General features: G+C 47.8%; 1 pseudogene, besides 2 other annotated features; it reads left to right on the top strand.

The window, feature by feature from the left end:
* On the top strand, positions 1,653-2,004 carry RPS21P2 (ribosomal protein S21 pseudogene 2; annotated as a pseudogene).
* Positions 7,026-7,320: an enhancer, noted in NCBI's record as "tiled region #2466; HepG2 Activating DNase matched - State 5:Enh". NCBI's record gives its function as "activates a minimal TATA promoter and a strong SV40 promoter by Sharpr-MPRA in HepG2 cells {active_cell/tissue: HepG2}" and the evidence as "EXISTENCE:reporter gene assay evidence [ECO:0000049][PMID:27701403]".
* Positions 18,257-18,316: a silencer, noted in NCBI's record as "silent region_11847". NCBI's record gives its function as "represses an Ori minimal core promoter by ATAC-STARR-seq in GM12878 lymphoblastoid cells {active_cell/tissue: GM12878}" and the evidence as "EXISTENCE:reporter gene assay evidence [ECO:0000049][PMID:35858748]".

Below are 25,973 nucleotides of genomic sequence, written 5' to 3'. Positions count from 1 at the left end.
GAATCAGGGCTGGAGGCACAGGGTGAAATCTCTGCAGAGACAGCCCTTCATCCTCTTCTGCCGGGATACTTCCAAAGCCAGAGGATCACTCCTTTGTAAAGCACACTGCTCCGCCCTGTTGCTGGGCAGTCCTAATTACATTTATTCCTCTTCTAATGCCCTCTTGGTTTTCACCCATCCTTGCCATTGAACAAGGTCTTTTTACTTTGTAGCAAAATGTCATCGCTCGATTTCTGTAGAAATGATGCATACATTATAGAAATTCAAATAATAGGCCGGGCGTGGTGGCTCACGCCTGTAATCCCAGCACTTTGGGAGGCCGAGGCGGGCAGATCACAAGGTCAGAAGTTCAAGACCAACGTGGCCAATATGGTGAAACCCCATCTCTACTGAAAAAAAAAATACAAAAATTAGCCAGGCATGGTGGCGGGCGCCTGCAGTCCCAGCTACTCGGGAGGCTGAGGCAGGAGAATCGCTTGAACCCGAGAGGCAGAGGTTGCAATGAGCCGAGATTGCGCCATTGCACTCCAGCCTGGGAGACAGAGTGAGACTCCATCTCAAAAAAGAAAGAAAGAAAAAAGAAATTCAAACAGTAATATGAATTTTAACTCACCTTAAATGTTACCATCCAGAAAAAACCTTTATGAATATTTAGCAAAGATCCTTATAAAAATCTCTCGGCCGGGTGCAGTGGCTCACGCCTGTAGTCCCAGCACTTTGGGAGGCCGAGGCAGGTAGATCACGAGGTCAGGAGTTTGAGACCAGCCTGACCAACATAATGAAACCCTGTCTCTACTAAAAATACAAAAAAATTAGCTGGCCGTGGACGGGAGGTGGAGGTTGCAGTGAGCCGAGATTGTGCCACTGCACTCCAGCCTGGGCGACAGTGTGAGACTCTGTCTCAAATAAATAAATAAATTAATAAATTAAATTAAAAAAAATAAAAATACAAAAATTAGCCAGGTGTGGAGGCACGTGCCTGTAGTCCCAGCTACTAAGGAGGGTGAGGCAGAAGAATAGCTTGAACTCAGGAGGCAGAGGTTGCAGTGAGCTGAGACCACGCCATTGCACTCCAGCCTGGGTGACAGAGTGAGACTCCGTCTCAAAAATAAATAAATAAATAAAAATCTCTCAATGCAGACCAGGCGCACTGGCTCACACCTGTAATCCTAGCACTTTGGAAAGCTGAGGCAGGCAGATCACCTGAGGTCAGGAGTTCAAGACCAGCCTGGCCAACATGGTGAAACCCCGCCTCTACTAAAACCACAAAAATTAGCTGGATGTGGTGGCAGATGCCTGTAATCCCAGCTACTTGGGAAGCTGAGACATGAGAATTGCTTGAACCCGGGAGGCAGAGGTTGCAGTGAGCCGAGATCATGCTATTGCACTCCAGCCTGGGCAACAAGAGCAAAACTCCATCTCAAAAACAAAAACAAAAACAAAAACAAAAACAAAAACAAACAAAAAAAAACTCTCAATGCTTACCCACACGTAGAAAGAATAATTATACCAAAATGAGATATCACAATTCTACTTTTAAATTTTAATTTTAACCTTATTATCAAAAAACTTTTATGGAAGTACAGCATACATATATACTACCAGCTTGGGAACAAATTAAAATTGCAAATGCAATAATTATCACAAAATGGCTTTCTCTGCTCGCGCGCAGTGTGGCGGCAGCAGGTGCGGCTTTGAGATGCAGAATGACACTGGTGAGTTCATAGGCCTGTACATGCCATGGAAATGGTCCAATAGCAACTGCATCATCGATGCCAAGGACCACAAATCCATCCAGATGAACGGGGCCAAGGTTGACAAGGTAGCAGGCAGGTTTAACCACCAGTTTAAAACCTATGCTATCTGCAGGGCCATTCGCAGGATGGGTAAGTCACATGACTGCATTCTCCAATTGGCCAAGACCGACGGATTGTATTAAAGAACTTTTGACTGAAGAGAATCATGGATGTGGAATATTTGTCATAAATAAATAGTAAAAACCTAAAAAAGGCCGGGTGCGGTGGCTCATGCCTGTAATCCCAGCACTTTGGAGGCCAAGGCAGGTGGGTCACCTGAGGTCAGGAGTTCGAGACCAGCCTGGCCAAAACATGGCAAAACCCCATCTCTACTAAAAATACAAAAATTAGCCTGACATTGTGGCAGATGCCTGTGACCCCAGCTACTCAGGAGGCTGAGGCAAGGGAATCACTTGAACCCAGGAGGTGGAGGTTGCAGTGAGCCAAGATGTCTCCCTTGCATTCCAGCCTGGGCAACAGAGACTCCATCTCAAAAAACAAACAAACAAACAAACAAACAAACAAACAAAAACAAAAAAAAAGGCCAGGCGCAGTGGCTCACACCTGTAATCCCAGCACTTTGGGAGGTGGAGGCAGGCGAATCACGAGGTCAGGAGATCGAGACCATCTTGGCTAACACGGTGAAACCCTGTGTCTACTAAAAATACAAAAAAATTAGCCGGGCGTGGTGGCGGGCACCTGTAGTCCCAGCTACTCGGGAGGCTGAGGCAGCAGAATGGTGTGAACCCGGGGGACAGAGCTTGCAGTGAGCCGAGATCGCACCACTGCACTCCAGCCTGGGCGACAGAGTAAGACTCTGTCTCCAAAAAAAAAAAAAAAACTAAAAAAACAATTATTGCAAAATAAATACATTTGTGCAACCTTCACTTGGGTCAATAGAACATTACCTGCATCCCAAAAGCCTCCCTTCTGTCCTTGACAAGGCAAAAGTTCTCATAATCATGATTCCCTCCTTCTTCCCCTAAGTATCGCTGTCCAGACTTTTTTTTTGTTTTGTTTTGTTTTTTTTTTGTTTTTTTTTTTGAGATAGAATCTTTCTCTGTTGCCCAGGCTGGAGTGCAGTGGCATCATCTCAGCTCACTGCAACCTCTGCCTCCCAGGTTCAAGCAATTCTCCTGCCTCATCCTCCCAAGTAGCTGGGATTAGAGGTGCCCACCATCACACCCAGCTAACTTTTTTTTTTTTTTTTGTATTTTTAGTAGAGACGGGGTTTCACCGTGTTGTCCAGGCTGGTCTTAAACTCATGACCTTGTGATCTGCCTGCCTTAGCCTCCCAAAATGCTGGGATTACAGGCATGAGCCACTGCGCCCAGCCCCAGACTTCTAAAAGCATAGATTCCTTTCATATTTTCATTTTCACTTTTTATAAAAGGAATTAAGTATTATTCTGTCTGGCTTCTTTGGCTCAAAATTGTCTTTGTGAGAATTATTGATAACATTTCACATACCCATTCATTTTGGTTGCTATGACTATTCCATTTTCGCCACAGTTTATGCATTCAACTGCCAGTGAGTATTTGGATTATTTCAGTTTGGGGCTTTTCTAAATAATGCTGCTATGCATATTCCTGTCCATGTTTTGGTATACATATGTATATATTTGTTAGATATTACTCTAATAGAATTGTTACCCAGGAGTAGAATTTTTGGGTCATGAAGAATGTATACACTCAACTTTAATCAGAAAAGGCCAAACAGCCTGGTGTGATGCCATATGCCTGTAGTTCCAGTCACTTGGGAGGCTGAGGCAAGAGGATAGCTTGAGCCCAGATTAGCCTGGACAACATTGTGAGATCCTAAAGAAAGAAAGGACAAAAGGAAGGAAGGAAGGAAGGAAGGAAGGAAGGAAGGAAGGAAGGAAGGAAGGAAGGAAGGAAGGAAGAGTAAAGAGAGAGGAAGGGGAGGGGGGAAAGGGAAAGGGAAGGGGAAGGGGAGGTCAGGGCCTGTTTTCCCAGATAGCTGTACCCATTTACCCTGTTACCAACAATGCATGAGAGCTCCAGGGATGTCCACTGTCTACACTTGATATTTCAGGGGTTTTTTCCCCTTCATTTTGGCTATTCTGAGTATGATGCCATAGCTTCTTGTGGTTTTAATATGCATTTCTTTGACGACTAATGAGGTTGAGCACCTTTCCTTGTATTTATTGGCCAATTCAGCTACTATCTGTTTTGTGAAGTGCCTGTTCAAATCTTTCACACAATTTATTTCTACTGGGTAGGTTTGCCTTTTTCTCACTGATTTGTTAAGATTATGTTGCAAATACCTTTCACATCCTATTGGCTTCTCCCTGAACTCCTTTAATGTTGTTTCTTGATGATAGCTTCTTATTTTATTATTAGTGCCTACGTTCTATTTTAAACAATAAATATTGAGGATAATTGTGCTTAAATTTAACAACTCCCACCCCCGGCCCTGGCCACACAAAAGAAACTGAAGTAAAATGAAAGAAATTGCTGAATTTCAGAGAAATATTTCCTCATTACGAAAAATACTAGTGGTCCCAGGAACTTGGGAGGATGAGGCATGAAGATCGCTTGAGCTCAGTAGTTTGAGACCAGCCTGGGCAACATGGCAAGACCTTGTCTCTACAAAAAAAAAAAACAAAAATTAACCAAGCATGATGGCACCTATCTGTAGTCCCAGCTACTTGGGAGGCTGAGGTGGGAAGATTGCTTGAGCCCAAAAGGTTGTGAGGCTGTAGTGAATTATGATTGTGCTGCTGCACTCCAGCCTTGGCAACAGAATGAGGCCCCCTGTCAAAACAACTAAAACAAGAAAAAAGAAAAAAAAATAATGGTTTATAAAATAACCTGCTAAAATTGAGGAAAGGGTTTATGAAAAATATTAATAAGTAGCAATTATTTTAAAATGTGTTTTAGTTTTAATTACAGACGGTATCTACTAACTCCTTGTTATGAATAAGGAAATTGACATTCTTACATTTCCTCTTCCCTCCTCTCCTCAGCCCCCTGAGTTTGCTAGCTTTCTCCTGTCAAGATTTACATTTTATTCTGAAGCCACAATTTCTTCCATAGTCTAGCTTTAACTATTTGCTTACATGGAGTCATCTCTCTTACCAATCTTTTCCCCATGGCTTCTCCCTGACTTCATTTCTCATTTTGCTTCATCTCTTGGTTGGCCAGACTTCATTTTCAGCTACTTTTTTTCTTTTAGAGACAGGGTCTGTCTCTGTCGCAGAGGCTGGAGTGCAATGGTGCAATCACAGCTCACTGCAGCCTTGAACTTCTGGGCTCACAGGATCCTCCCACCTCAGCCTCCCAGTAAGCTGGGACCACAGGCATGTGCCACCATGCCCAGCTAATTTTTTATTTTTACTTTTTGTAGAGACGTGATCTCACTATGTTCAACTACATTTTTAAAGGGCCCTGGGTGCTGTCTCCCTCTGATCTTGGAGAATGTTTGTCTGTCACCTTTATACTTGAAGGACAGCTTGGCAAAGTGCTCAGGCCAGGCTCACAGGCAAGGTCATCTTTATGCCTCCAACAATCAACAAGGAAGCCAGCCTTCTGGCTTACAAGCCCTGTGAGTGTGAATTAATTTCCCACAGACACCTTCCTTCTTGGTATACTAACAGCTCCACTTTCTGAATCAAATCTGCAGAGGCAAGACCCTGAGCAGAGATGGAAACCGTGGCAACCTCAGTTGCAGCCCAGGTCTCCCTCTTTTTTTGCCTTCCTCGCCCTGCCTCTCTGCTGAGGGTCGGTCTGTTTGACAACCGTGGAACAAAATAACCCCAGGTGACCCTGGCCCTACAGCATACTCCCCTCCCCGTCCCGGGGTGTGTCTGGGAGGGCCCGGAGAGCTGTTGTGAGGTTCCACCTCGAAATGGACTGTTTGGTTCCTATAAGAACAGAGGGGGCATGTGGACCAGTGAGATCACCACAGCCAGTGAGGAAGACTGGATCTATGCACCTGCGCTGTCCACACGTTCATTCCTTCAACAGACACCGGCATGCAAGGTGGCTCCTCAGAACATCCATCAGTCTCACTTTGTGTGTGAAGTGCTCATGAGAAGCCTTTCCCGACCAGCTGTTAGGACCAGAGCCAGACCGCCCCCATGCCCTTCCTTCTTCCAGGCCCTGCACTGGGAGAAGCCCTTGCTTTTTACTGACTTCCACGTCCACCCACATGCCCTGGAAGGTGTGGGTGAGCCTGGGAACCAGGCTCTCCGTTAGCACCTCCATCGTCCTTTAAAGAGCAGCCTTTCTGAGTGGCCGTCTCCACTGTCACAACAGAAGTGCTCTCGGGCCCTCCGTCTCAGTAAGTAATTTTGCAAAGTGCCCTGTAATTGTCCTGAATGCAGAAGCCAGATGTATCTGACAGCGCAGACACATTGAATGCACCCATCCCCGGGGCAGGCTGTTCAGTGTTTTTGAGCAAACTTTTTCCTAGTTCAGCACTGCCAGGTAGAAGGGCCGGCTTTGCCTGCACCCTGAGATGACTGAGGCAGAGCAGACACAGGGAAGCTGGCAGACTGCCTCAGGGCAGCCACCACAGGCCGGGAAACTTTCTCCCTGAAATAAGGAGGTAAGCCAGATACTAACAACGCAAGTGCTTTGCAAACTGACTCAGCAAGCCAGATAGCACAGTGTGAATTTTAAAAAGTTCAGTCCTTCTGTGAGCTCTGCCATGCCCAGCATCAGAGGCTGCTCTGAGAATACGCTCTTAGACAATCTTCTTGAGAGAGGGTAATGGGTTTCTCTTTGGTGTCTGTTTATCCATCCAGCCATCATCTATTTCTGGATACGGCACCACTTTCGAAGGTAGACAGGGCCATCCTGGTGTGAGATTTGAATCTGAGAAAAAAATGTAGTCTTTTACTGAAGCTGGGGTGTCATGTCTGAGGTTTTCCACCTTTGCCCCACACCTCACTAAATGACAACTTCTCCATGTTCAGAGGTTTGACACCCGATGGGCAGATGGGCCCTTGCTCCCTTTGCTTGGCTGGAGCCCTCTCATGAGCACCTCCTCCTGTCTCCTCCTGTGGGAGTTTGCTTGGCATCACCTCCTCTGGGCACCTTTCCCTGCCTCCCAGGTAGAACTGGAAGCTCCTCCCCTCACTTTTGCCACCAGACAGCCAGGAGTCAGTGGGTGCTCCCCACCCTTCAGATCTGGATAGGACCCATTCAGATCCCACCACCCAGCTTCTCAGACTGGAGTCAGTGTCCTGCCCAACGTTTCTCTGAATTTTGGGGGCAGGGGGCTTTTGTTCTCAAGGTCGCCTTTGTGTCAACTTTCAGCCTTTGTCAAGCTGTTCTTTGTCCCTATCCGTGGCTTTTCCTTGACCTCTGCCCTGGCATGCACCCAACAGAGCCCCTTCTCTTTGATCACTTCTTCCGTGGTAACAGTGAACAGAATTCTGCTGGGAGCCACAGAATGTTTACTGAAGATTTATGGGTCACCGGAGGTACTTTTAAAAGCAAAGCACTTAAAAATCCATATCACTCTTGAAAGTGGTCCTCCAGCCAGGTTTTCTCACAGCTGGGCCACCTGTGCACGTCCTGCCTTCTCTTCCCCTCTCTTTCAGTAACTCCAACCACCAATTCCTGTCTCTGACAACAGCTGTGCCCTCGTGAACCAAATTGTCGTGCTCCAGAAGTTTATCCAGATCTTTCCTAAATAAAGCCAAGGCCTTCCTGAGGAAGTACTCTGAGGTCAACTGTTGAGATGATACAGTTTTTTGTTTGTTTCTATATCTTGCTCTAAACCAGGCTGAACTCCCACTGAAGGCAGAGACCTCAACTTTGGATTTCTGTATCCCTGGTTCCTGGTAAGGGGATTTGTAGGCACTCAAGAAGTCCAGCTGTCGCAAGAGTGAATGCCTGTGACCAGAGGGGAGTGAAATGGGCATCAGGCAGCGCACCCGTGGTGGCTCCCGCAGCAGGGGGGTCGCACCCCACCGCCTGTTGCTAGGAGATGATGGACTTCGGAAGGATGTGCAGTGTTGCTTAGCAACACCTCCCCACTGTTCCATCACTCAGAATGGACAGCACCAAGCAATTCTTACAGCAAGAGTCTTTTGATCTATTTCAGCCAAAAGCAGGAAAGATCTTTCTGTCTCAGCTCAGATTACATAATTTTTTAAAGGACCACAAGAGCAAAAAATATGGAGGATCCCCAATATTCACACCCAAGAACTACTTTGTTAGCAGGTTAACTGTGTATCAGAGGGACATTAGGAGGATTGCCAAGAGCTCACAGCCTGCCTTCTGGGGACGCTGGGAAGCCTCCCTGCAGGGACCCTTCACTTAGCTGTAGCCAGCTATCCACTGGGCTTGGAGTGCTTCCCACACCCCTCCTGCATGCTGGCTTGGCCCTACCAGGGATCGCAAAGCCCAGCTGGTCACCAAGGACAGAGGTGCTCTCTCGACGTGGCTGATGTTTTTCTAACCAGCTTAGCCCAGAAAGAACATTTGGATTCATTTCCCATCTGTAACGCAGAGAACCTTCGTATGAACTTAAGTTCCTTGAGATATTTGCACTGAAATAGGCACGTATGAATTTAAGAGTCATAAATGGGCCCAATTTCCCTGAACTGTGCCCTAGAATGCGCAGTGCATGCTCTGTGACTGTTTTTCCTTTCCTTCTGGTAACTACTAGCTTCCACATGGGAGAGGGTTCACAGGGGGTGGGGTGTCCAGGCTGCACGAGTGGCTGAAGAAGAGCTCCCTGCTAGTCTCTGTGAGTACAGGGAAGGCCCTATGTGGCCGTAGATCCCTTGGAAGCTCAGCCTGCTGAGAGCGGTGCTCACCAGGTTCCACTGAAGCTGAACAGCACTGGAGCTAGGAATGCAGGAAGGAGGCGCTGCCTACACCCTGAGCTCTCAGTCTGGCTGGGAAGCCGGCAGTAGCTGTGTCCTATAAAGGCACCTCGAACACTGGACAACACTGTAGCTCATGCTTGAATGAAGATTCTCTAACAAGTGTGTTTCCTCCGGAAGGCACATCACAGCCTTCCTGCACTTACGAACAATTAGACAACGCTTCAGCACTATGCCTGGGGACCACATTAAACAGCAAAATCACCACCCAAAAGCACAAAATGCAAAAGATATGGCACTAAATGGACCAAGAAAAGACCCTGTGTGTAGAGAACAAGACGCAGAGCCTTGCTTTGTTTGACCTCAGTAGGGAACTGCGTGTCAAGCAACTCACATTTTTCACAGCTTTGCACATGTCTGCAAATGACCACAGAAGCACCACGAGTACTCAGTTTTGAGGTTTCAAATGCGTTTCAGAGAGTAGGTGACTTTGTGGCTGAGCACGATGGCTCACGACTGTAATCCCAGCACTTTGGGAGGCTGAGGTGGGTGGATCACAAGGTCAGGAGTTCAAGACCAGCCTGGCCAAAATGGTGAAACCCAGTCTCGACTAAAAATACAAAAAATTAGCTGGGCGTGGTTGCAGGTGCCTGTAATCCCAGATACTCAGAAGGCTGAGGCAGAGAATTGCTTGAACCCGGGAGGCGGAGGTTGCAGTGAGCCGAGATGGTGGCACTGCACTTCAGCCTGAGAGACAGAGCAAAACTCCGTTTCGAAAAAAAAAAAAAAGAGAGTAGGTGACTTTGCAAATGTGGATTTCATGACTAATGTGGATAGACTATATGTATGTATGTATGTGTGTACATATATGGCATTGTCTATGAAAGTTTAACATGTACACACACACATTTCTGTGCATATGCATGTATTTAAAAAGTAAAACTTAAATGCATTTACACCCACACGCTCCAGGATGGATGAGGAGGCATGACCCCAAGGCTCCCCTCAGTGCTGCCTTTTCCAGCTGCCTGCAGCAATCTCTGGTTACTTGGCTTCAAGACTCCTTGGAGTAGAAATTTCCAAACCCCGCACTGCCTCAATCAGACCATCCTTGCTTATGTAGCAATTGCCAGGGGCCCTTGTTACAAATGGATCCTAATTCCATTCCTGACCTACTCAAACAGAATCCAAGGGAGGAAAGGCTGGAGCCTTGGAATGTGAATGTGTACTTGACACCATTTACAAAGCTCACAATTCAAGTTTGAGAATCACTGTGAATAGGTTGCCAGGCAGCTGGAGAAATCAGCAGCTGACACTGTTTGGACCCTGGGACAAGAGGCAAATCGCCAGTGTAGGCCACCCTGCCCCTCTTGCGAGCAGACGAAATCAGTCAAAAGTGTTGTATGCTTCGTGAAAGACCACAGGCAGTTTCGTTTAAAGCTGTATAACCTGGGGAGAAAAAAATAAATAAATAAAAATAAAATAAAAGAATTGTGTGTGCTTAATGAGAGGAAAAAAATAATTAAGCTGGGAACCCAGGGAAGGTTATGTAACATCCCTGTGTGTCATGTTTAAAGTGAATGTAATAGTAGTTCTCTCTTAAGGCTGTCAAAGATGTTAAAAATGTGTGTTGAGCAGCACTTCCCATGTGGGAACAGTTAACAACCACTTATTATCATCACCATCAGCTGTTGTTCCCTGGACCTGAGCTGACCCCCGGAGTATGCTCTTTCCTCCTGCTCACTTTCTCAGCCACCGGAATCTCACCTTTTTTCAGACCTTTCCTGTTTCAGTCTGGATGTTTCTTTTTCAAATGATTACTTTGCAAAAGTATGTACTTAATAGAAAAGTAGGACTGTGCACCCACCTGGACGGCAAGAACCCAGTGTTGGCAAGGACACAGAGCAAGTGGGGGCTTTGCTGCTGGAAATATAAATTTCACTTTGTCAAACTTTTTGACATTATCTATGAAAGTTAAACATACACACACACTGTGACCCAGCAATTCTCCTAAATTCATAGATACAGTCACTGAAAGACATGACAAGAATGTGATTTGTAATAATAAAAAATTAGAAGCAAACTAAAAGTTTATCAACAGCAGAACTTGTATCCCCACAATGGTGGACAGTAAGCAGCTAGCGTGGACTAACTGCAGTCTTCTCGGTGCGGAGGAATCCCATGAACACACGGTTAGGTGGGAGGAGACACTAAAGAATGCATACTGGGTGGTTCAATTTATGTGAAGTTCAAAAAGAGGTAAAACTACTAATGTATGAAGTTAGGACTCCAGAGGAGGGTTTCTCAGAAGGGGCACTCGAGACTGGAAAGGGGGTACTGAGGGTTTCCAGGTTGTGCTCAGCAATGTGCTGCTTATACGCATGTCTGTACCTTGTGAAAATTCTTTTTATTTGTACACTTTTTCAAGCACTTTGCTAAATTTACATTATATTTCAGTAAAAGTTCACATTAAAAAAGAAAGGCAGGAACAGACACGGTGGCTCACGCCTGTAATCCCAGCACTTTGGGAGGCTGAGGCGGGTGGATCACCTGAGGTCAGGAGTTTGAGACCAGCCTGGCCAACATGGTGAAACTCTCTCTACTAATAACACAAAAATTAGATGGGCATGGTAGCGCTCGCCTGTAATCCCAGCTACTCAGGAGGCCAAAGCAGGAGTATTGCTTGAACCCAGGAGGCGAAGGTTGCAGTGAGCCGAGGTCATGCCATTGCGATCCAGCCTGGGCGACGAGAGTGAAACTCCATCTCAGAAAAAAAAAAAAAAAAAGGCAGAATTATGAAGATGTCTTTGGTTGGAGGTGGGGATAGATGTTTAAGATGGAGAACACACCAGGTGCAGTGGCTCACGCCTGTAATCCCAACACTTTGGGAGGCTGAGGCGGGTGGATCACAAGGTCAAAAGTTCGAGACCAGCCTGACCAAAATGGTGAAACTTGTCTCTACTGAAAATACAAAAATTAGCCAGGCATGGTGGCGCGTGCCTGTAATCCCAGCTACTCAGGAGGCCGAGGCAGGAGAATCGCTTGAACCCAGGAGGCAGAGGCAGAGGTTGCCAGAGATCGCGCCACTGCACTCCAGCCTGGGCAACAGAGTGAGAATCCGTCTCAAAAAAAAAAAAAGATGGAGAACAATGAAGTAGCATTGAAAAATAGAGAAGGAAACTTTTAGAGGAGTTTAAAAGAAACTTTTACCTTTAATGATTTTGAAAGACTAAGAACAGAAAACCCAAGGATTCAAAGAAAAGTGGCAAGGAGTCCCACAGCACCAAGACTGGAGAAGCATAAGGGGGAGGCAGGGCCCTGGGTGGTCTCAGGAGACAGCAGTGAGGCCAGTAGAGGTCATTTGTGGGGTCCTGGCATCCCCTGGGAGGGCAACCAGCCCCAACATGCCCCCACAGCCTGAGCTGTGTGTGTGCTCTTGCCCGGCATTCAGCCCACAGAGCTTCATGGAGCACTTATCATGGGCCAAGAGACTCCTCCCACCCAGCAGAGACCAAACTCCTTGTGGGACTGATCTACTGTGTTCTCTGGAGCAGAGAGGTGGCCTCTCTTCCAGCATTTCCCAGACTTGCCTGTGTGATGGCATCACTGAGGCACTTGCCGTAAACACGGGTTCCCAAGCCTGTTACCTGGAGGTTCTGATCTGGTTGGTCTGAGGTGGGGTCCAGGACCCCAGGATCTTCTTCCAACCAGACTAGTTGAGGAAACAGTGCTCTCATGCAAGGGGATATTCTTTTAAAAAGATTAAACGCATTACTGTAAATAGTGAGATAATGCTTTGAAAGTAATCCAAAATATTGTCAAAATATAATTTCCTGTTGGGAAAAAGGAAAAGGGGGAGGGACTCTGACAGTGAGCCTGACAGTAAAGTTGCTGGATAGAAACACAGGATGCCCAGTTAAATATGAATCTCAGATACACGATGAATAATGTTTTAGTATAAGTATCTCCTAAATATGGCACCAGATGTACTTATACTAAATTTCTTGTTTATCTGAAATTCAGACGTAGCTGGGTACTCTGTATTTGTATTTGCTAGATGGGGCTGCCTCTCCAGGAAGAGCTGAAAAGGCTTTGGAAACTTGCTCCAGCTGTCTGTGAGTGGTGAAGGGCCACAGGGAACTTCACCTGAAATATGGCTCCCTGGTATGGTATTTTGTATTAAAGGCCCTTAAGGATCAGCAGATGGAAGAAGACACTTTTTCCCTACCTGTATGAAGACCAGACAGACTTGCCAAGGAGAAAAATTGTTCCCCAAGTATCTCTGGCCCCGTCCCTTTGTTTTCATTAACTGAACTCATAGTAAGGCGTGATGGCTCATATCTGTAATCTTAACTGTTTGGGAGGTTGAGACAGGAAGACTGCTTGAGGCCAGGATTTCCAGACCAACCTGGGCAACATGGCAGCTCCCATCTCTATTATTTACTTATATGTATCAAAAAACCCAACCCATATCACAGGAAGGAAGACTGAAGACTGTCAACAAGCCTGGACATTTTGTTACAAACCACTGTCTGTTCCCCGGGCCCAACTTTGTTACAAACCACTGTTTGTTCCCCGGGCCCAACTTTGTTACAGATCATTGTATGTTCTTCAAGCCCCTGAATTCCCTTACAAATCATTTACCAACCCTGCAAATCATCCACACTTCCTCATCTACCTTTTCCCTAAGAAGTAGTGTGTATACTTTTCTTTTTTTGGAGACGGAGTCTTGCTCTGTCGCCCAGGCTGGAGTGCAGTGCTACAATGTTGGCTCATTGCAACCTCTGCCTCCTAAATTCAAGTGATTCTCCAGCCTCAGCCTCCGGAGTAGCTGGGATTACAGGTGCCCACCACTAGGCCTGACTAATTTTTGTATTTTTTAGGAAAGACGGGGTTTCACCATATTGGCCAGGCTGGTCTCGAACTCCTGACTTCAGGTGGTCCGCCTGCCTCGGCCTCCCAAAGTGCTGGGATTACAAGTGTGAGCCACTGCATCCAGCCTAGAATTAGGATGTATAAGCATCTGTACTCACTAGGATGTCAGGCTGTCACTGTGATTATCCAGTGTGCATATCCAGTGTGCACGGTGGTGATACATTTGCGTGCCTTTTCTCTTATTAATCTGCCTCTTTGTGAGTTGATTTTTCAGCAAACCTTCTGAGGGTGAAGGGGAAGCTTCCCAGCTGTAATGGCCATGGGCAGGTTGGGAAGAGGGTCTTAGGTAGACTGTCAGGAGGCCAGGATAATGATAGGAACATTTACTGACTATCAATAGAGCCAGGAACAGGTTTTTTTTGTTTGTTTGTTTTGTTTTGTTTTGCGTTTTTTGAGATGGAGTCTCACTCTGTCACCCAGGCTGGAGTGCAGTGGTGCAATCTTGGCTCACTGCAACCTCTGCCTCCCGGGTTCAAGCAATTCTCTGCCTCAGCCTCCTGAGTGGCGGGGACTACAGGCGCCCACCACCAGGCCCGACTAATTTTTTGTATTTTTACCAGGGATGGGGTTTCACCATCTTGGCCAGGCTGGTCTTGAACTCCTGACCTCGTGATCCACCCGCCTCAGCCTTCCAAAGTGCTGGGATTACAGGTGTGAGCTACCGCGCCCGGCCTGGAACGATCTTAAGTACTTCACACTAACACATTTACACCTACACTAAGCTAGATAGCGTCCTTAGCCTCCTTTAAAAGATTTTGGACACGGGGGCAGGTAGATAAGTGGAATGGAAGAACCGGACTCTTCCCAAGCAGTCTGGTCCTGCGCCCCTGGGGAGGCCACCAGCCCGGTTGTCGCCTCGGGGAGAAGGGGGGTTTCTCTAGTGCAGGGCTGTTAAACTGGGGATGGGGCCTGTGAATGGTCCCCGCCCCCAACACTGAGTTCATTAATATATCCAATAAAGACCTACTGTGTGCCTACTCTGTGCCCCCGCACCTGCCTAGGGCTTTTGGGGGTGTGATGGTGAGCTGGCCTGCTTTGTGGGGCTCAAGATCAGGGATAGGGGGAGTGGAAAGGGGACGTGTCCAGAATTTCCCTCAGGTTCTCAACTCTGCCCCTACTTCCTCTCCCCCAGTGGAAGATGCAACTCAGGCGGGCTCCTCACCCGCACAGGATCTTCTGAATCCGGCCGGGAGCTGCCCTGCCCGGCTACTCCCCGGCTGTTCAGTGACTGTTGGTAGCAGGGACCTGCGCACTCCAGCAAGGGCCGCTAGACCCGCCTACTCCACCTTGGGGTGGAGGTGGGCCAGCTGGAATTTGACAAGACCTCACAGGGGGCGTCAGTCCCAGACAGAGGCGGGAGGACTGTGGCGCGTCTCTGAGAACGAGGCCCGTCCCTGGGTGCATGTCCCACCTTTCTGTTCACCTGAGACAGGCATTCCAGTCTAAGCCAGGCCTTCCTCACGCTGAGGGTCTAACCAAGGCTCCATCAAAAGACGTTGGCCCAGCGGTGGCTCATGCCTGTGATCCTGGCACTCTGGGAGGCTGAGCGGGGCGGATCGCTTGAGCCCAGGAGGTCCAGGCTGCAGTGAGCCGTGACCCAGCCCCTGCACTCCAGCCTAGGCCACAGAGCGAGATCCCGTCTCAAAAAAAATAAATAAATAAAAATAGGCCGGGCGCGGTGGCTCACGCCTGTAATCCCAGCACTTTGGGAGGCCGAGGCATATAGATCACGAGGTCAGGAGATCGAGGCCATCCTGACTAACATGGTGAAACCCTGCCTCTACCAAAAATACAAAAATTTAGCCGGGCGTGGTGGCAGGCGCCTTGTAGTCCCAGCTACTCGCCAGGCTGAGGCAGGAGAATGGTGTGAACCTGGGAGGTGGAGCTTGCAGTGAGCCGAGATCGCGCCGCTGCACTCCAGCCTGGGCGACAGCGAGAGACTTCGTCTCAAAAAATAAAAAATAATAAAAATAAAAAAATAAAAATAAAAATAAAAAGACACCTGGCGAGTTTCGCCAGGGCAGCCTGCTGTGCCTCTCTCTGCTTTTATAGGAAATGGTTCATTCTCCATCCACCCTCACTCTGCCCCCACCCAAGGCAGCAATTTAAGGCAGCTTGTTCTTGTTTTAAAACATTATTATCACCAGGATCATAACGAAGAAAATGCAAATAAAAACTGTGTGGTGTTTTTCACATCTCAGGCTGGCAAGTGTCTTCCAGAGTGCCAGTCTGCGATGGTGGTGGAGGAGTGCAAAGACAGGCGTTCCCATGTGCTGCTGTGGGGAGAGGGAAAATCGGAACACACTTTTTGGAGGGCAGTTTGGAAATATCTACAAAACATACACATATGCTTTGACTCAGCAATTCCCCTGTAGGGGAATTCACCATGCAATACAACCCAAAATATCTGTGGAAGGAAATTTACTGCAGCACTGCGGGTGATGGTAAAAAAGCCAGAAAACCATAAACGTAAACGTGCATCAGTGAGGGATAAATAGGCTGCAATTACTTTGTAAAAGTGAATTCCATATAGCTATGACAAAGAAGGAGCTAGGTCAGTACACAATGACATGGAAAGATTCCGGCGTGCACCCAAGGCCGAGGAATGCCAGATAAAAGGATAACCAGGAAGTAGGAGAGGGACACCAAGAGGTAGGCAGGCTCCCCAACTCACAACTCAAACACCCACAGCAGTGCTGGGAGGGAGCTAGTTCGGCTTGGTCACTGAAATCAAAGGGTCTGTAGACAGCAGCAGGAGCTTCCTCTGTTTATAATAGTACAAATAAGTATATAATAAAAAAGACCAGGCGCGGTGGCTCATGCCTGTAATCCCAACACTTTGGGAGGCCAAGGCAGGTGAATCACCTGAGATCAGGAGTTCAAGACCAGCCTGGTCAACATGGCGAAACCCCATCTCTACTAAAAATACAAAAAATTAGCTGGGTCCGGTGGCTCACGCCTGTAATTCCAACACTTTGGGAGGCCGAGGTGGACAGATCACCTGAGGTGGGGAGTTTGAGACCAGCCTGACCAACATGGAGAAATCCCATCTCTACTAAAAATATAAAATTAGCCAGGTATGGTGGCACATGCCTGTCATCCCAGCTACTCAGGATGCTGAGGCAGGAGAATTGCTTGAACCCTGGAGGCGGAGGTTGCAGTGAGCCAAGATCGTGCCATTGCACTCCAACCTGGGCAACAAGAGCAAAACTCCGTCTCAAAAAAAAAAAAAAAAAAAAAAAAAGCCGAGTGTGGTGGTGGGCGCCGGTAATCCCAGCTACTCGGGAGGCTGAGAAAGAAGAATTGCTTGAACCTGGGAGGCGGAGGTTGCAATGAGCCAAGATTACACCACTGCACTGTAGCCTGAGTGGCAGAGCTAGACTCCATCTCAAAAAATATATATATAAATAAATAAAAGTGTATAATAAAAAAGAAACCACACCTTTCTTCCAACCCACTAGCTCTCTCATGAATCCCATTGTTTCATGCCATCCCAGTTTGTAGTTCAGTCTTCACGGAGCTCAGCGAGTCTTGCTATGATCTTAGAATAATCTGAGGCGAAAAGGATCAAAATATCAAAATGAGTTTCAGATAAACTAATGATATCACTGAAAAGAGCTAGGCCAGGTGACGAGTACAGAAAGAGACTCCCAGAAGGTGGTGAGGAGGCCTGGGGTGGTATGGCAGCCACTGTTCTCTCCCCTTGCTCTGAGAGCCTAGCTCTGTCCTCCGGGGGATGCCTTTTCTGCCTGGGGACCTGGCTGTGCAAGGATGTGATACCAGGAGCTGGGGGCACAGCCTGAGGAGGCACCGGTGATGGGAAGATGCCTCGGCAGAGATGGGGGAGCCTGGGTCCTCAGTGACACTGTCGCATCCTAGAGGTAAGCAACCCCTGCAACTGCTCCATCTCTGGACTATTTGTTATAGAAGGCAAGGAAATTCTTTTTTTTTTTTTTTTTGTTGAGACAAAGTCTTACTCTGTTGCCTGGGCTGGAGTACAGTGGCGCGATCTCAGCTCACTGCAATCTCTGCTGCCCAGGTTCAAGCAATTCTCCTGCCTCAGCTTCCCAAGTAGCTGGGATTACAGGTGCCTGCCACCGCACCTGGCTAATTTTTGTAGTTTCAGTAGAGATGGGGTTTCACCATCTTGGCCAGGCTGGTCTTGAACTCCTGTCCTCATAATACACCCACCTTGGCCTCCCAAAGTGCTGGGATTACAGGCATGAGCCACCGCACCTGGCTGGAAATTATTGTTTAAACTGTTCACCTGAGGTTTTCCATTTCTCCAAGCGGAAAGCATCGTAAATGAAAACAGCCCATTACTCCAAGGCTGTGGCTCCCAACTTTGACTACAAATGGGATCTATTTGGCTGAGCAAATAAATAGATTAATAAATTAATAAATTAATAAATAAAACAACCACTGATTTCTGGGTTCCACATCCCGAAATTCTAATTGTGGGAAACAGGTGCTCAGTGTCGCACAATCAACACTGAGACAAAGGATCTCTCAGCAAGGCTAGTTTACTTTCTGCAGAAAGCGTGCTGCTCGCTAACAGCCTTACCACGAGAGCACACCTGAACAAAGGAGAGGGGGACACTTATAATCTTTGTAACCTGATGCAATCATCCTATGGCTGTGCCCGTTTGCATTGGCTGGAACAGGACCTCACATTCTAAGCTTGACCCAATTGGCTAACAGCTTGAAACTTTTCTAAATAGGCAAAGGGGAAAGAGGACAAAGAAAAGAGGAAGCTAGTCATGAGAGGGTCAGGAGGGTTTCCAAATAAGGAATGGCATGTACTATGGTCTGGGGCTCACTTAACCCTGCCCAGGCACGCCAGGTCAAGTCAGAGCAGTTGCATTGGAACATATATAGATATGCATAGTGCAAAGAAATGACAAGCTCTTTATGGTTTTAAGAAACTTTGAAGAACTTCTCCATTCCTTACACTGATTTAATTGATGTTTGGTGAATGAAAGGTTGATATTGTGATATAATAAGAAATATGTATTTGGTCTTTGTCCCCATTTCCAGGAACAGAGCTCCTAAAACCCTTAGAATGGAATTTCCTGAGTGATAAAGTTTAGAGGAATATCTTTTATTATTCATAATAAGCCTCTTTCAAACATCTGGAGCTGCTAATGCTAATGAGCTGACTCTTGGAGGATGGGGGCTGGTTGCCCCAGCATCCCGCTGGTGATGAGAGGTTGGGAACTTTCAGCCCTATCCCCTGGTCCTCCAAGGAGGGGAGGAGGATTGGAGACTGACTTAATCACCTGTGGTCAATGATCTAATCAATCGTCCCTATGTAATGAAGCTGCCATAAAAAACCACAAACAAAGGGTGTTTGGGAATTTCCAGGTTGATGACCACATTGAGGTGCTGGGAGGTTGTTGTACCCAGAGAGGGCCTGGAAGCTTTGCAGTGCCCACCCCTCACCCTTGCCGTGTCCATCTCTTCCATTCGGCTGTTCCTCAGTTGTATTCCTTGTAATGAACCACCAATAGTAAGTAAAGTGATTTCTTGAGTTCTATAAGTCATCCTAGCAAATTATGGAACCCAAGGAGAGGGTTGTGATTGACAGTCAGTTGGTTAGGATTGTGGGTAGCTCTTAGGATTGTGACTGGTGTCTGAAGTGAGGGCAGTCTTGTAGGACTGAGCCCTTAGCTTGTGGGGTCTGCACTAACCCCGGATATTTAGTGTCAGAATTGCTTAATGTGAGGGGAAAAATACACATTTGGCATCAGCAGTATTGTGTGAGAGTAAAGAAAAGCAGTTTGTTTTCTTTTCAGAAATGCATTGGGGATTTTTAAAGCTGGCATGGGGTTGAGAGCCTCTGCTGTAACATCGGGATATGTGAGGGAACACAGACGCTGCCTCAGAGCCCCTTCCAGTCAGAGCTGGGCAAGGGTGGCTTTAGGAGAAGGTGGGCAAGGTCCCTCTGTCTGCCAGGGCAGGGCAAGGCCAGCTGTGCAAGTGTGTGGGCAGTTCACAGAAGCCTCTAAGGCTGGAAGGAGCTCAGTTTCTACCTAGGACCAGGGGTACACCTGGCATCTGGATAAAAATGACCACATTTCCTCATACAAAAGTGGTCTCACTTCCTCGTCAACAAGAGGAGCTGGTGTGTGGTGTATGTTATGTGTGTTGCGGGGAGGTAGAAGCGTTGCACTTTGATTTGGAATGGATAGAAGTACAGGTTTCCCAGGATAAGGAGGGAAGGTGGGAAGGCCTGACCACCGGTGAGTCTGTGCCAGCCCTGATCCCCGACAGACTTGGGTGTGTGCTGTGTGCACTGAGGTCTCCCCACCCAGGAAAGGAGATGGGCTCTGCTCCCCAACTCGCAGAGACTTAAAGGCTGCAAAGGGTGTGGGTGGCTGCAGAGACCGAGAGTGACAGGGACACACACAGGAACCACAGGCACAGGAAAAACCATGGTCACTACAACGCAGTGCTTGCGGAGGGGCCCAGGTCCCGAGTGGTGCCAGGGAAGTTTTCACCAACAGCTGAGAGCATAGCTGTGGCAGTGGAGGTGCGGGCCTGTGTTGCTGCCCCGAGGGCTGGGAGCCACCTAGCTTTGCTCTGCGGACATGTGCTAAGGGCTGTGACGGGACACCCCACCCTCTTCTCACTGTTGCTACTCTTGCTCTGTAAGTGTCCCTTTAAGGGTTAGCAGGACTCACATTCCTGAGAGTCTCCTGGCCTCAGTGAGGACAGCTGGCCCCATCTTTGGGGTGATCAGGATTGGGAAGGGGCAATTATGTCATTCATTTCTTCAAGGGATATTGAAAGTATCCCACAGGCACTGGCTCCGCCCTTAAAGTGCTTATAACATGTTAGGGAAAGAAAACTGAAGTGCGTAATGAGCCTGATGGAGAAGTAGGACCCCAGCTGGTGCGGAGGGGCAGCGGGCTTTGGCCCAGTTAGGAGCCACCGAGTGGACGTGGTTTGATGAAGCAGGATCCGCCAGGCTTGGTTCGGTGGGGGGTGGGTTCGGTAGGTGGGCGTGGTTTGGTGGGGCGGGGCCGGCCAGGGTGCAGGGAGGTGACCCTGAACGCTGAGCGTGGGACGCCTGGAGCGAGCTGGGTTAGGGAGTGTGACCAGGGTGTGGAATATCTCCCAATATTCAGAAAACGGGGAGCGATAGGAACCTGCAGACGCGGACCCACGCGTCCCGACGTGGGCAGACCTATGTACTTTATGATGCTGCTCTGGCAACGCCCTCCCTCCACCCAAAGGCGGCCGAGAGCCGTGAGCTGACAGCTGGCGCGGGTTGACGGACACAGAGTAAATACGACTTCTAGTACATGGGCCAGTCACTTCCCGTGTTCCTGTTGGCTGTGGGCCTGGGCTCCTCTGTTCAGTGACCATGCACCTGGCCGACGGTGCTGCTCCACCGAGCGCTGAACTCGCTGTCTCCCTGAAGCACGCTCCCCGTCTGGCTGACCTTGCAGGACCGTTTGTTCAAACCACTCCCAGGAACTTCCTGCCCAGGCCCCGCACTCTTCACCCGAACTTCCGTGACTCCTCAGGGCACCGTCGCTTAGGGGTCCGTTTTTGCCAATTCACTGTGTCTTTACTGGTATTGTCTACCAACAGTTACTCATCATTTTCACTCTGAGCGGAGACTATTTCATATTCTTCTTTCATGTGGTTTAAAGTTTAATAACGCTTTTAGTTTCCCCCAAATGTTATTGGAAGCAAAAACTTATACTTTTTTTTTTTCCAAGACAGTCTCACTCTCTCGCCCAGGCTGGAGTGCACTGGTGCGATCTCGACTCACTGCAACCTCCGCCTCCCAAGCTCAAGCGATTCTCCTGCCTCAGCCTCCCCAGTAGCTGGGGTTACAGGTCCGCACCACTACCGCCCTGCTAATTTTTGTTTTTCAGTAGAAACGGGGTTTTACCTTGTTGGCCAGGCTGGTCTCAAACTCCTGACCTCGTGACCTGCCCGCCTCAGCCTCTCAAAATGCTGGGATTATAGGCGTGAGCCACCGCACCCGACCATATTTTCTACTGGTAAATACACACATGAACAAACTTTTGAAGGTCCTAAAGGGAAAAGTAAGTTTTCCTCTCTCCTCTGCCTTTCATTTCATTTAATTACCCCCAATGCAATCACTCCTAGGTTTCTTGGTTATCCTATGATAAATATCTTATATGCTTATGAACATTTGTGAATATATATATTTTTTCACATAAATGGTAATATGTTATATTCACTATTCTGCATGTTGCCTTTGTCACTCACATTATATCTTGCAGCATCGTCTGTATCAGTATACATAGTCCTTCCTCTTTCTTTCTTTCCTTTGGAGGCAGACTCTCTCTGTTGCCCAGGCTGGAGTGCAGTGGTACGATTTCCACTCACTGCAACCCCACCTTCCCGAGTTCAAGTGATTCTCGTGCCTTAGCCTTCCAAGTAGCTGGGACTACAGGTGTGTGCCACCACCCCAGTCTAATTTTTGTATTTTTAGTAGAGGCAGGGTTTCACTATGTTGGCCAGGCTGGTCTCATACTCTCCCAAAGTGTTGGGATTATAGGCGTGAGCCACCGTGCCCAGCTACCCTCTTTCTTTTTTAATAGCTGCATACTATTCCATGGTGCAGATGTGCACATGATCATTTAGCCAGGCCACCATTGATGAACATGTGGGACAAGCAATGTCGCAATGAATATGCTCATGATTACATAGGTTCGCGCTTACACCAGTATATCTAGGATAATTACTGAAGAATAGAATCCCTGGATCTAAGGGTATGTATGTATATTTCAAATTTTGGCCAATATTGTCAAATTGCCTTTGTAGAGGTTGTACCAATTTACATACTCACAAGCAATATAAGAAGTGTCATGCTTCTCACACCCTCAGAAATCTAGCATGTGGTTTGATCTTGAGGCAAAAGCTGTTTGCTGAACACTCGTCCTGTGCACAGCATTCTGCTGGGTGCTGCCAGCATGTGGAAGGCTGTGATAGGAGCAGCACTTGCCCCCGGGGCGGCCTGGTGGTCCTCCCCTGCTGGGCAGAGCAGCCCCATGAGATCAGCAGCAATGTTCAAGTCAGTGAGGTTCACAGAGGGCGTGTGGATTGGGGTTGCTGGTTTGCTGTGGTTATGGTTTATTTTAAATGGCTGTCAGTTTGTGGGAAGGGTTATATGAAGGTCACAAAACAAAGGAGGAAATGGTTCAGATTCAGAGGGCAAGGGAGGGACAAGGACAGAGTGAGGACAAGGGTAGAGTAGATGAATGGTTTCTGGAGTCATCAGGTGCTGGAGAGTGGAGAAGAGCATGGAACACAGGGAGGAGACAGAGTTTTGGGTAAAAAAAAAAACCCAAAATACAAAATCTAAACCATGAGAGAAGATATGGGTGTTTAAAAATGCCTGGAAAATTTCACACAACAGTTATTTTTTTTTTGGGTGGGGGGGTTGTAGTTAATTTCATAAATTATAGAATTTCCTTGTCTCCCAGCCTCTGGCTTTCATATCTCAATACCTTTTTATTCTTAGTTTTTAGGTGGTTTCGCCATTTTTGCTCAGTCACATGGTGATTGGACATCGGTATCTTGGGGACCACTGGCAGTGTTGTTGGGGAGCTGGGAGGAGGTCAGGGAGGGCCCTGGGTTTGTGTTGAAGCAAGTGAAACCTTGAGCCAGTGGCCACTGGAAGTTCTACAGGAGGCTGGACATTTCTTAGGTGGAACTGGAGCATCAAGCTCAAATCATGTTTAAATCAATTGGTTTCAGTACTTTTTTTTTTCTTGCTATTTTTTTGAGACAGAGTCTCACTCTATTATACAGGCTGGAGTGCAGTGACATGATCTCGGCTCACAGTAACCTCCACGTTCTGGTCTCAAGTGATCCTCCTGTCTCAGCCTCCCGAGTTGCTCAGACCAGAGATGTGTGCCACCACGCCCGGATAACTTTTCGTATTTTTTGTAGAGACGGGGTTTCACCATGTTGTCCAGCCTGGTCTTGAACTCCTGAGCTCAAGCAATCTGCCTCCCAAAGTGTTATAGGGCTCAATGCACTCAAGTGGCTCATTCAGTTATTTATTTGTATCAACAAATACTTTTATTTGGGGGTTATAATTAAGAACATCATGAGCTCCTGCATGCTGAGCCCTGTATCCTTTTAATAGTCCCCATTTGATTTTTGAGCACTTCTTATATTTTGGCTCCATAAGACCTTCAGGCCCATCTTGTATTTTCCCTGCCCCATCCCTAGAACCAACTCCTCTCTGAGGAGCCCTGGTTTCTCTTCTTGGAGAATGGGCTCTAGAAACAATATCTGGGAGCAGGGCATGCTCATGTTACTAAGGTGTCACTGCTAGATTTTCTCAGTCAACAGACCTAGCAAGGCCTGTATCTACAGTGACTCATGCTCACACATCTGTATGCACTTCTGTCATTTCTATCTATGTATGTCTGTTTTTTAGGATTAATACAGAGACAGGGTCTTGCTACGTTGCCCAGGCTGGTTTTGAACTCCTGGCTTCAAGCAATCCTCCCCCCTCGGCCTCCCAAAGTGCTGAGATTACATGTGTGAGCCACTGAACCTGGTCCGTGTATATCTATTTAAACCTCCATGAATTCATATCCACACCTGTGAGGCCGATCTCACACCACAAGTTCAACCTAGCCTCATTTGTAACTTATTTCTCCAGCTGTGAGAAACCTGGCTCTCCTTGACCATAGTACATTTACTGTCTTCAACCCGAGTGTACACCTGCCCCTGTGAGGTGAAAATCCACACCTGCACTGTAGCATCTTTGTGCCATTCTTATGGTCCTGGCCTGATGAGATCCAGCCACAGAACTGCCTTCCAAAGTTCCTTAGTGAAAGATTCTCCCCCAGGGCCTGAAAGCTTAAGGGAATGAATAACTCCTCCCTTCTCAGGCCCAGTCCCAAGGCACAAGACCACTTGGGCCAGCAGCGTGCCTCAGCAAGACAGCAGAAGCAGGAAGAGAGCTGGTCGGAAGACACATATCCCCTGAAGAGCGACAGGGAAGCCTTCTGGGTACTATGTAGAAGTCACGTCAGAGTGGGACACTTCCTGTTTACGGAAGACTATAAAACCCCTGCCTCGGGCCAGGCGCGGTGGCTCACGCCTGTAATCCCAGCACTTTGGGAGGCTGAGGCGGGCGGATCACGAGGTCAGGAGATGAGACCATCCTGGCTAACACGGTGAAACCCCGTGTCTACTAAAAATACAAAAAATTAGCCGGGCGCGGTGGCGGGCGCCTGTAGTCCCAGCTACTCGGGAGGCTGAGGCAGGAGAATGGCGTGAACCCGGGAGGCGGAGCTTGCAGTGAGCCGAGATGGCGCCACCGCACTCCAGCCTGGGCGACAGAACGAGACTCTGTCTCAAAAACAAAAACAAAACAAAAAAACCCCTGCCCTATCCTTACTTGGGGCTGACGCCATTTTAGACCTCATCTCGCCTGCACCCAGGTGCTCATTAAAACAGCGTGTTGCTCCATGGCGCCTTGTGTTGTTTGTTGGTGCACTCTCCGGGTTCCAACCGATACAAGAGCCTTGCACTTAGGTCAGGGTTGTTTTTTTTAAAAAAAAAAAAAAAAAAAAAAAAAAAAAAAAAAAAACAGGGGCTGACTCTGTTGCTGAGGATGGAGTGCAGTGGTACGATCATGGCTCACTGCAGCCTCAGACCTCCCGGGCTCAGGTGATCCTTCCACCTCAGGCTCCTGAGTAGCTGGGACTACACACGTGCACCACCATGTCCAGTTAATTTTTCTGTATTTTTAAGAGAGATGGGGTTTTCACCATGTTGCTCAGGCTGGGTCAGGAGATTTTAATGATGACATGAACAAACCAGAAAACAAAAATAGTGATAGGAAAGGAGAGCCTGGGTGGGAGAGGGTGGTAAGACAGAAGGAAAATGACACCCCAGGGTCTTGGGACCAGCAATGCTTGACTGGGAAACTGCTCCGCATGTGTGGCTGTGACCTGTCTTGTTGGAGTGTACGTTCTGTTTGGTTTTCAGTCCCGAGGAGTCACAGAGTTGCCTATTTCTCAGGGCAACAGCAGGAAAGGCCCTCCTGAGGCCCATGGTGCCCTGTGAATGAGATCTTGGGGTCCAGGCCTTAGCAACCCCTCCCTGGGACAAACTGCTGTATAGACTGGACCTCGTTCCTCAGAGGACACCCTCTGATGGCTTTGGCTCTGTGAAGGCTCTCCAGTGAACACTTGTCCTTCCTGGGCACACTCTCAGGAGCGCCACCCCTGCAGTCCCCTGACAGGGGCAGCCTCCTGTGAGCTGAAAAGAGACTCCGTTGGAGCCCTACTTTTCCTTTAAAATCAATGTAAAATTGTTTCCTCTACCTAAACACTGTCCACAGCTTCCTTTCCTGGCCATTTTCTTTCTTCTTCCCTTCTTTTTTTCTTTTTTGAGATGGAGTTTCGCTCTTGTCGCCCAGGCTG

The sequence above is a fragment of the Homo sapiens genome, chromosome 2 (assembly GCF_000001405.40).
Source record: "Homo sapiens chromosome 2, GRCh38.p14 Primary Assembly".
Classification (NCBI taxonomy): Eukaryota; Metazoa; Chordata; class Mammalia; order Primates; family Hominidae; genus Homo; species Homo sapiens.
Note: the sequence above shows the minus strand (reverse complement) of the source record. Positions and strands in the feature narration are given on the sequence as shown.